Consider the following 12,095-nt stretch of genomic DNA (forward strand, 5'->3'; position numbering starts at 1 on the left):
TATAGCTTAAGTCTCTTCCTGTTATAATATGAGCAACGTAAAAAAAGGTAAATAATTAGGGCTTGAGAGAGATCTCAGCTTATGTTGCTCAAAAATCAGCTGAAGGAGTTTTATGCGACATTAGCCATTTTTATCTTAAGGATGCCCTGAAATCTAAAGCTGTCTTAATGTCAGCCGCATGTAAGGGTCTCTGTAGAAAGGTGATCAAAAGGACTCTCCTGGCTTAGGTGCCCTTTGTCTCAGAGGAAGGTGATCCATGGCATCTGGAGATGATGGAACGCATGATTAACATTACCACAGAGAATGATTAATATCTTCTTAAGGCACCTACTTCCAGATTATCCATCATTTCATTAGAGTGAAAAAAGTTCCCTGTAAAAAGGGGCTGGCCCTCTGAACCATGAATAACTCACCCACCCCTTGACATGTTTACTAATTGAGTAGCAGAGTGGGCTTAATACTTTAATATATTTATACTAAGCAAATTATGACTTTTTTTTAATGCTCAGGGTGAGTTCAGGATTGTAGTGAAATAACAAATTGCTTTTGTTTGGCAATTAAAGGTCATTTTATGATTAATACTAAACTTAACCCTTATTCTTGACAGAAAGCATTAATTTTTTTGTCATAAACCATTGACCAGATTTCTTGTGAGAGATTTTTGCTATGCAATATTGGTTAATTTGCACTGTAGATGTCACATTTAAAAGATTCCTCATTAACCAGGGCCTTTGAAAGCATCTAGTTTTAGCCTGAGTCTTGAGTCCATGAATTTATTTAGTGTTTTACTTAAAGAGAGATTATGTATTCAGGAGAAGAAAGTGCAAGGATGATGTCAGTTTTCTGTATTTTCTTCATCTCCACTATAGAATGAAATTCTCCTTAATGTGGTGGTGATGTCTCCACATACTAAGCCTTCCCCATCCCCCAGAGTCCTAAAATGTAATTTCCAAACTATACTAAAAACTATTTCAATATGTGTGGCTACTTACATAATAAATCAAGAAAATGATTTGTACAAGTCAATTAACAGACCACCTTTTTATTTCTTAAACTCAAAATACTTTTCGTTTCAATACCTTGTCCTCAGAATTTTTCACTTTATTTTGTTTATGTAAAATTTTGGGAAAATGTCAAATTTATATTTACCTTCAGGAACGATCTCTATCCTGCTCCATTCCCAACACGATGAATTGATTTAAGATCTTAGTTTTCAACCAGTCCTTTTGAAACCTAAGAACACATGAAATTAGAGGAGGAAATGGCCTTAGTAAGACCCCTTCGAGGAGCTTCCTGAGGCTCCTGAGGCAGAGTCGAGTTCTTGGTGCCTAAAGATAAGGAAGGGTTTCTGTCCACATTACTCAGCTCACCAGCTGTGTGACTTTGAGTGTGTCATTTCTAGTCTTTGGACACCTGGGAACTGAAAGGCTAGGTTAGATGATCGCTCCAAACCTGTGACATTAATGAGATGAATTCAATGAACAGTTCTGATAATATTTACATAATTTTCTCATATGATACCTTGTATCATGATAAATAAATTCTTCTTACATTTCTAAAAATGGTAACTCATCTTTGGTGTCATGTTAATCATGTATGGTGTCATGTTAATCATGTATTGTGTCATTTGTGTGATGTGCATGTGATGCACGTATCAGGCTAAATTCTGAGAAAAAAAATTACCTTACACTTTATTTAAAGTCTCTTGAACATCGTACGTATTTTTTCTTTCCTTTTTTTTTTGGTGAAAGGAAGCAACTGATTAGAAACACACTTATTTCAGGGAATGTCCAAAATAGAAAATGTGAAAGGATACAATTTATCTCACACTTCTACAAATAAAATGTTTCATTGTTGCAACGATCTAAAAGATTGCAGTTGATCAAAACCAAATTCAAGTGTGTCTACTGTATTATACTACATATACCATAAACCAGAAATAGACTCATTGATACAAGATTCATTTCCTGAGGAAGGGTCTACAGAGCACTATTCTGTGAGCCTTTTATAAACAGGAAGTAAAAACAAACAAACAAAACTTAAATACTTGTTAGAAATGCAAAACTAAATAATGTTAAATAAATTTCTTTACCATAAGAGTTTTCACATTGTTTTGATTTTTTAAGAAGGTATAAAGCATACTTCCCAAACTAATTTGGCAACAAAACCACTCATTTATTTATTTTATTCTTTTTTCATACTAAAACTGAGTGGAAAATAATTGTACGTACACAAACATGCATAAATGTGTATTTATATTTTACTACATATTATTATATATCTGTTTATGCATATGTAGTAATAGATACATAATTTTTTATCACATTTCAAGATTGTGGCTTAGGCTGGAGAATTAAGAAATATTTGTGGTAAGCATGAAAAAATGAATAATCTAATGATAGATATAAAATCTAGCAAGAATTGCTGTGATACAAAGTGTGAAACAGTAGAAATAATTTATGATCAGATAATGTATTACTTATATTTCCATCCTTTGGCTGTTTGCAATATGCAGACATGTCTGACTAAGTCCAGAACAAGAAGATGACACGAAATGGTGGCCATTGGCTTTACCTTTAATGAATGTATTGCAGTTACCTTGGTGGCCTTGGTGGAGTGGTGGCTTTAGGGTCACGTCAGCATAACCTTCATTTCCTGTTTTGGTAAAGCTTTAAAAGATTGTGGGGGAGCGTGGTGTGAAACCAACTTTAGAAATGTAGGGTGCATGAAGATCTCCACCATGGCCAGATTAGGGGCGCTTGGGCAAGCTCTTGCCCTCTAGACTGTGTCGATAAACACTTTGACTCTAAACAACTATGAGTGTGTCCAGGAGGAACTACTCTGCTCTGTAGTGGTGGTCCTACCTGGCTATCTCTATAGCAGGGAATTTGTTTAAACATCTCTTCAGAGGGCACAAAGAGGCACAACATCAAAGAGATGTTGGAGACCTTACAAAGAGGTCACTCTGACCTGAGATGAACATTGTCACTTCAGAAACTTAATTTCCTATTTCCTACTGCTTTTGCAACTGAGGTCAAAACTCTTTTGGAACTGAGTGACATACCGTCATCTGAGGGGCAGTGATATGCCAGGGAGGTATGAGTTTTCTGGTCAAGCATCTCTGAGTTCAAATTCTGGCTCTGCTACCTACTACTACTTGTGTGTTTGCTCAGTTTTACCATCCAAGAGGTATGATGGAGCCTTGATACTCAAAATGTATTACATGTGACATCCACATGCCTTGGGAGCTTTTAAGAAATGCAGAATCTCAGGCCCCACTAATAAATAAGAATCAGCATTTAACAAAGTACCACTTTGTACATGACAGTATGGAAAGCCGTATTGGATATGAAACCAATAAAGATATACTGGAAGTCACTTGTGGAGGGACCTTGAAAAATATAAACTATGACACATGATAAATACATTATCATAACAATTCTGATTACTGAGATCAAATCATTGAAACCCTTTGGATTATTGGATAATGTTTTCCCTCCAACATCTTTCCATTTCCTCAGAAACAGATACACAGTGATCACTGTCTATTAGATTGTATTGTCAACTTGATACCTCAGCTTTTCTGTTACTCCTTCTCACCTTCTGATGTTTCACCCATTTCTTTGGGATTCATCCCACACTTATAAAGTGTAATATAAGACCAATTCTTGATTAGAGTTAACTTGGATTGGACTTCAAATATTTGTCTTTATTTTTTTCATTTCTGGAATTTCAATATTAAGTTTTGTAGAACTCTGCTTTCAGTTCACTACATTTAAGAACAGCAGGCAGTAAACCAATAATTCCAGGTTTAAGTAGACCTCCCTTCTGTGTTCCTGTTGTCTCACACCATCCTGGTGTTGTAGTGCGCCAGGACAAGTTTTGTGTTGGCCTTATTAACATTGTAGTATCTTGACCACTCAGGAGGAATTACCTGAGGAGGAAAATATGGCAGTCATAGTTGCCCCAGAGCAGAAAGTTCTCCTGTCTTCTGCCAGTGAAATAGGAGAACATATCGATTTGCTTGTCACTACCATCGTGTGATTGTGTGTGTGTAACAAACTAAGTGACCATAGAGCTAAAAACTTTAGAAAATCCTTTGTTGACATCCTTGTCTATAAAGAAACAGAAAATCAGAAAAAAAGTCTGACCAAAACCCTTTAAAGGAAGGGGCAGAAGAGATGATAAGAGGAAACTGCAGTAAATGGCCAAAGATGAACTCTGATCAAAGGGTTTTTTGATTTTGTTTTGTTTTCAAATCTCTGGGGAGTCAGCTTGGTTTGGCGAGAAAGTTTGTGAGTTCTGGATCCCTGTCCCACCTACTGAAGACATGGCTTTGAACAAGTTACTTCACTTCTCTGGACCTCAGTCTCTCCACCTGAAGAAGAGGAGTTCTCTCTCCCATTACCTCACACTAATCTGTGAGAATTAAATAGTTTGAAGACAGCGTGTTGCTCACACAGCACTTATATCATAAATATCACAGTTCTTCAAGATCATTGTTTATTCCACAAACATTCAACTCCAGCTTGTCTTTTTCCCTCAATGCAATGGCCTCTGGGGCTCAGGCACACAGGCATGACAGGGCCCTAAGCATTACTTAAGCCACAGCCTGCAAAGACCTTTGGCCAGTGAAGACCCCGCCCCACCCTCCAGGCCTCAGCATCCCCAGTCAGGTGGCTGTTTGTCCTCCTCTTTGCCCTCTCTGCTCTGTTGCGATCATCCTGGATTTTCCCTCTATGCAACTGCTGTCCAGACCAGCTGCACCCACTGCATCTTCAGCAGTGGACCGAGTAGGGTATTAATCATATTTTTGAGGAGGACACTCTGCTATTTATCTCCCTGACACCTCCAGCGATGGGCTGCCCAGGCCTGCCCACAGTCCATTGACTGGTGAGATTACACATTACCTTGCTCCATTGCCTCTCCCTGCCCTCTCCATTGACTGGCTGTTCAACAGTGGGGTTGTGTTTGTTCAATCAGACATAATTTATACCTTTTTTGTTCTTACTGGAGAGTGCACGTTAATATTTAGTTGAAGTGCAGCATTTTCAGCTGAATTTCAGGCTAAACAAAACTGAGATCAAAGATGCTAAAAAATTCTGTGACCCCTCCCCTACTGCCACCAACTACCATGGAAATTATGGGGACATGTGGGCTTTAGCCAGCAGCTGCGCTTGCTCCCAGGTTTTGTTATAAATTATGTACAGATGTGCATTTATACATAGTCTCTACCTCAAAGTTTAGAAGTCCCTACAGAGAAATAGTCCATCCTTCACTCAGCTTCCATGTAATTCCTTTTCGCCTTTATGTGTAATCTCTCATTACAAGTCACTCTGGTTTGTTTGGCGTCTCATAGCCTCATTTGTCACTTATCTTCTCTCTTCTTAACCCTTTTTTAAATTTTAAAATTCAAAGCAAGGGGAGGGTAGCAGGGTTTGCTCAATGATAGCAAAAATCCAAATATGTAAATAGCATTAATAATTAAATTAATTGCTGATTAGCTAATCAGCAAGCTTAATAGTAAACTGCCTGCAGAGGGACAAAAGGCTCAGGCTTCACCACTACACACCAAAGTGACTTGGTTCTTTGTGTTCAAAAGCATTGTTCCCTTAAACGCGTTTCCAACATTAATAATTGGCTCAAAATCTGTGGGATTATGCTGAATAGGCAAGTTAAAGAAAAGAAACATTCAGTCAAGAGTTCTCTGAATTGTTCATGCATTTATTCAGCAAGTAATTATTATGTCCCTACTATGTGCCAAGTGCTCTGCAAGCAGCTGAATTTATTTTGGTTTTACACACACTTTATTTTATTTAGTTAGTTAAGGTAGAAGGGCATGATGTTTTTTATGTTAATGAAAACCTAGAAATGCAAAACTTTCATACTGACTCCTTATTACATTGCATGGCTTATGCACCATACAATAGAAGGTGGAAATGTCTGTCATCTGTCTAGTGCCTAGTAGCAGTGATAATAATTGAGGAATAGTAGAAAGAGCACTAGATTGGAAGTCAGGTCTGATGATGCTGGAACCCTGTCTCTATGTGTAATAGTTACATGCTTTTAGAGAAGTTCTCCAACCACTATGAGTTTTAGTTGTTGCTTCTAAAAATAGGGATACTAGCAATCCTGATGAGAATAAATTACAATAAATGTTTGAAGAGGTTGGCACATAGATAACATTCAACACCTGTCAATCTGGTCATTATAATTTGTATTAGTGAATGGAAACAGACTTATACTCAAAGAAACATTTTATTATAAATATACCATTTTATTAATCAATTCTCGCACTCCTGAGACTGGGTAATTTACAAAGAAAAGATGTTTAACTGGCTCATGGTTCTGCAGGCTGTATAGGAAGCACAGTGGCTTCTGCTTCTGAGGAGGTCTCGGGAAACTTACAGTCATGGTGCAAGGTGAAGGGAAAGCGAGCACATCTTCCACAGCTGGAGCAGGAGGAAGAGAGACAGGGGGGAGGCTCTACACACTTTCATACTTTTAAACAACCAGATCTCAGGAGAACTCACTGACTATCTTGAGGACACTACCAAGGGGCATGGTGGTAAACCATTCAGGAGAAACCACCACCCCCCGCCCCATCATGATTCCATCACCTCCCACTAGGCCCCGCTTCCAACACTAGGTATTACAGTTTGACATGAGATTTGGTGGGGACACAGATCCAAACCCTATCAGCTATCAGATTTACCCATTCCTCAGAAAACCTAGGGAAATATACAATAATGTGTAGAAGTGATGAGCACATTGTACATTAGCACGTGCTGCCTTTGTCATCTCAGTATCATTCTGGGAGTCCTGCTAGTCCACTGGCTGCTTGTGTGTTGCAGTGTCCGCTGGGTGGGCACAGTCCATGGCTTCCTCCATTGTTTTGGGCATCCATGCTCTTCCATTGTTTCCAGACTCCATAAGTGTTTTGAATGTGTCTGTGTTATGATGGCTCCCTCCAAACTCACATTTTGTTTGTACCTACATCTACATTGTTCACTCTATATTTGTTCAAGGTACGCATGCATCTATAATTGTTCTGTTGTTCTGGCATGGATGCTTCTCCAGGACCAAGCCACAGTTTAGTGGAAGCTGATGTATAGCAGTCAATTTGGCTTAGCATAAATCTTGGCTCCACCCTTTGCTATGTAATTTTCATGACTTTTCTTAGCTTCAGTTTTCTCATATATAAAAATACAAATGTCAGTTCTGTTCTACATGTTGTCGTGAAGACTGAATTAAGTAACATGTAAAGCATCCTGCATGTAGTAAGGACTCAGTCAGTGCTTGTTTCTCTCCTTCTGTCTTTCCTTCCTTTTTTTTTCTTTCTCTCTTCTTTTTGCATTTACCTTGTTATTGTAGTTAAGTGACATTGCATAATGAAAATACTGTGAGATTTAAAATTGGAAAAAAATTGTTTAAATCTTGGACTCTTCAATTACTTTGGACAGATAATTTAACATTTCGAATCTCAGTTTCCTCACATCAAATAGGGGCATGTTCTTCACCTATACCACCCTGAACACACCCAATCTCACCTAGTAGGGGTATAATTGCACCCCCGTTCTAAGGTTGTGTGAGAAGTAAATTTGATTATGGCACCACATGCATCGTGTTCCCAACAGGAAATCCATACCTTGTCTTCATTTTTTTCTTCCCTGTTTCTCAGCAGAAAATGAGGACAGGACCTCTACTCCTACCTTGTGTCTCAGTGTCCCAGTTAAATAGTCAAACATTTTAAAAATAGTTCAGTTGAGTAAGCTCAGCTAAGAAGGATAGAGTATTATACAAGCTTCTTCCACATTGGTTCCGTAAAGATCATATTGAATGGAAAGACATGAAATAAACAACCGGTAGAACTTCTACACAATATAATCAGAAAGAGAAGAGCTGTGGCTATTCTCTGGGTCTCTCACGGTTATTCACAGTTCTGATTTTCTCCCCACAAGTGTCTATTCTTTTCTTTCTCTTGCATATATATGTATGGCCAGCACCTTTAATTCTGCATGGGGATCTCTCACCTCCCCCCACTACCATCTAGTTCCTTTGCATCTTCTAATTCAAACTTCCAAGAAAGAAAATCTAATTGAAGTCACTCCTCCCTTTCAGGAGGAGTAGTATGTATCCTGGGCCCTTTATGAGCTTATTAATTGGTTCCCATTGGTAATAGGCAATCCCATCAAATCCATCTGCTGTAGACAACAGCCCAAAAGACTATCTGCTTAGGGGTGAAGTGGAAGCTGAGCTTGGCAGATACATTGACACATGTAGAACATGAAACTAGTTAATTTTTACAAATGAGTGAAATTGGTCTCTGTTCTGTGGTAGGACATTTGAAAAATCTCATAGAGGAAGAATCAAGATAAATAGAGAGAGTCGAGACCAAAAAAAAAAAAAGAAGAAGAAAGCAAGCTAAGAAAAAAAATATTTTATTATCCCATTGTAAACCCAAAGGAAACCTCCTGACAGTGTCCCACAATTATCTCTAGAACACCAGAGGATTCTCTGCCAATTAGCTTTAGTTTACAAGAAGTTTTACAGGCTATGTTGCAGAAAATTTCTCTGCCAGCAGAGATAACATCTAAATAACCCGGTGAGGCTTTTCCAGTCTAATTGTAATAAGGTTTTGAACTCAACAAAAGCTCTTGACAGGGGTGAGAAGATACCCTCTGCAAGCATACTCTGAGATGACCACGCAGACAAGGCACTTTCTTAGAGGCTGGGATGTCAGTGCTACTCTCATTAGGGGCCTTCGGCTACCAAAGCAAGCCCTGGCCCCGAGATTCTCCAGGGAGAGGCAGAGACCTCAGGAGGACACAATAGGAAGGGAGAGAGAAAGCCCAAGAAGGCAGTAGGGATATTTGTAGGAGTAAGAATTAGAGGCTGCTGTAAAGCCAAAGCCAAGAGCAAAAAAAAAAAAAAAAAGTGTATTCTGTAGTTGAATTCAGAGTGGAAATAACCAAATCTCTCCATTAGGCAGGTGATTCTAAAATCGGCTTCTTTAAATAGAATGCATTAGCAGCACTCAGAAAATTCTTATATTTAAGGAAGACATTTCACTCTGATGGCATTCTCAGTAGATTTCTTTATACTTTTCTCGATGATGAAGCATTGTAAAAATACTGGTAGAAATATCTATTCCTGGTTTTAGTTTTTCTGCAGGAAACAAACAAAAAATAACACTTTCATTGGTGTGATGAGAATTTTGCCTGGTTAAATTCAAAACTACTAGTATTGGGCTCCTTCGGTGTGTACAAAGTCTATGTGTGATTCCGTTTAATAATCCTTTGCTAATGTTTGTCCATAACTTCTCTTTAATAAAGGGAATTTATTTTCATCTCTTGGCAAATTTGGAGATCAGAATTTGCCTGGCTCGGGTGGGTATAAAGTCAGTTGCAGATAAATGGCCTTAAAATATTTCTGCCACATGATTGTATAGGATACTTTCTCCTGAACCACTCTCAGTTCTGTAATTTTGCACTGTGATTGTAGGCCAACCACTGGGGCATTCAGTCTTCTAGACCAGGCCAGATAGGAAAATAGCCGTGCATTGATGACTTTCTCTTGGTTTGTTTGACAGTGTCTGTATCTGTGATTAGGATCTCACCACAGGTTCAATGTGTCTACTTGCCCAGGCTTTGAACTCAGTGTTTGCAAACAGGTAACAGAAAGATAGAAAGATAGGAGTTGAGTCCTGTTACTTCACCGCTTGATTTGAGACATTATATGTAGGAATTAGAATAAACTTACTTTCTTAAGACTAGCTCTGTCTTTTGGAAGAAGACTCAGCAAAGACGAAATTGTGTAGCTACACTGGTAGATATAATTTAAAAAGCAGCACTTGAGATTTCATTTGAGAAAAACAAACGTAAAACTTACACACAGGACTGGCTATATGATTTGTGGGGTCCATTGCAAAATGAAAAGGCAGAACCCCCTTGTTCCAAAATTATTAGGAATTTCCAAATGATGCCCACAGAGCATTGGACTGAGCTGGGGTTCCTTCTGAGTGTGGGACACTGTGCTCTTGTCTAGCTTTGAAGTAAACTGGTGATTTGACTCAGTGTAGTCATTTTTTCCTCAGTGTTTTCTGCAGGACCAACTAAGAGTGATTATGAGACTTATTAATTGAAATAACAGAGATTTGTTTCCAGTGTACTTTCAAAATTCCAGAATTCACTAACTACGTAGACCCCATCTTGCTATTTCTGTATCCACAATCATTAGATAAATGCTTCTGTTGCCTTGTGGGGGCATGCAGATAGTATTATGAACTCTTGCCTGTAGGATTAAGACTGACTGTTCTTGTTCTCCATTGTAGGTGAATGGTCTCACTGGAGACCCTGTGCAATGTTACAGTGTCACACAGCTTATGCCAGGAAGCCCAGTGGAGGCACTTGTTGAATAGCCATTTAGTCATCTGAACGGGGGCACTCAGTTTAAGGAAAGCAGAGAGACCTCTAGAAGCCCAGCATTGAATTAAAACTGCACCATCACAGGGGCAAGCCTGTCACAGATACAAGAGCAAACGGTCTTCCCATCTGGGGGCAATCAGAGTCTCTACTGTGGAGGATGTTGAACAGCTTCCAAGAGCTAATCCATGAAAAGAGTTTCACATGGAGCTAGTATATAATAAAGGCTCAGTGGATGCTAGCTCTTATTATTACTCTAAAATGGAGGTCCTGAATCTTTAGCTCCATTTACATTTCCATTACTAATGTGTAGGAGAATGTTAAAGCTGCATCATTGACAGTGATTTTTGTTTGGACGGGTCTGTTTCTAAAGTCCTTGAACAGAAAAGGGATTATTTTCTTGTTTAAGGGTTTGGCCATTCACGGGTCCCCTGGAATTTGAGATAATTTTATGACCAGAATTCTGGGGCAGAGAGGGGTATTTTATAAATAAATTAAAATTTTAAAATAGTTTCGGATTTATAGAAATACTGCTAAGATAGCACAAGGAATTCCTATATATCCCACACTATTTCTATTGGCAAAATCTTAAATTATTATAGCCACATTTGTCAAAATGAATGAACCAATACTGATGCAGTATTAACTAACTAAATAAACTCAGATGAAATCTATATTTAGATTTGCTTAGTTTCTACCTCCTTCTTTGTTTGATTTATTTTGTCCTTTTGTTCCATTCCAAGTCCCATGCAAGATTCTTATCATTCATATCACATTTAGCTATCATGTCTCCTTAGGCTCCTTTTGGCTGTGACGATTTCTCAGGTTTTGTGTTTGATGACCTTGACAGTTTAAAGAGTAGCAGTGGCCAGGCGCAGTGGCTCAAGCCTGTAATCCCAGCACTTTGGGAGTCCAAGATGGGCTAATCACGAGGTGAAGAGATTGACACCGTCCTGAACAACATGGTGAAATCCCGTCTCCACTAAAAGTAGAAAAATTAGATAGGTGTAGTGGTGTGCACCTGTAGTACCAGCTACTTGGGAGGCTGAGACAGGAGAATCGCTTGAATCAGAAGGCGGAGGTTGCAGTGAGCCGAGATCACAGCACTGTATTCCAGCCTGGGCAACAGAGTGAGACTCCTTCTCAAAAAAAAAAAAAAAAAAAAAAAAAAAAGTAGCAGTGAGGCATTTTGTGGAGTGTCCCTCAATACGGATTTGTTTGATGATTTTCCCATGATTTGATTGTGGTGATGGGTTTTGGGGAGAAAACCACAGGTGTAAAATGTGATTCTCATCACATAACAAGAATGCATGCTATCTACATTGCTTATAATGGATGATGTTAACCTTGATCACATGGCTAAGGTACTTTTTGTCAGGCTTTATCACTGTAAAGTTATTCTTTGTTGTTGAGAGGGGGCAGTATAAGAATTTAGAGTTCCAGATCCCAGAAGAAGAGCATGACGTAACAGTATCCTTGAGCATAGGCTCCTGCTAGTCTGTGTGTGTGGTCCATCTGACGTGGAATCCAGCATGCAGAAGGCACTCAATACATATCTGATGGACGCAGGAAGGGGAAGTGGTCCGGGAATGTCACTATCTGGAGAACCCTATAGCTAACTGCATTAATTTGACATGGTTATCATGCTGTGTTAACAATTTGCTTGACACT

General features: G+C 38.8%; 2 long non-coding RNA genes across 5 annotated transcripts in view; one reads left to right on the forward strand and one right to left on the reverse strand.

Moving 5' to 3' along the window:
- The window catches only part of LINC02253 (long intergenic non-protein coding RNA 2253), a 197,799-nt gene that overhangs the window by 162,216 nt on the left and 23,488 nt on the right, over window positions 1-12,095 (forward strand). The window lies entirely within an intron of this gene.
- The window catches only part of LINC02254 (long intergenic non-protein coding RNA 2254), a 151,441-nt gene that overhangs the window by 26,137 nt on the left and 113,209 nt on the right, over window positions 1-12,095 (reverse strand). Inside the window, exon 4 of the long non-coding RNA NR_120324.1 lies at window positions 1,150-1,233. This is a non-coding gene — a long non-coding RNA (long intergenic non-protein coding RNA 2254). The remainder of the gene's footprint in view (window positions 1-1,149; window positions 1,234-12,095) is intronic.

This window comes from Homo sapiens, chromosome 15 (assembly GCF_000001405.40).
Source record: "Homo sapiens chromosome 15, GRCh38.p14 Primary Assembly".
Taxonomy (NCBI): Eukaryota; Metazoa; Chordata; class Mammalia; order Primates; family Hominidae; genus Homo; species Homo sapiens.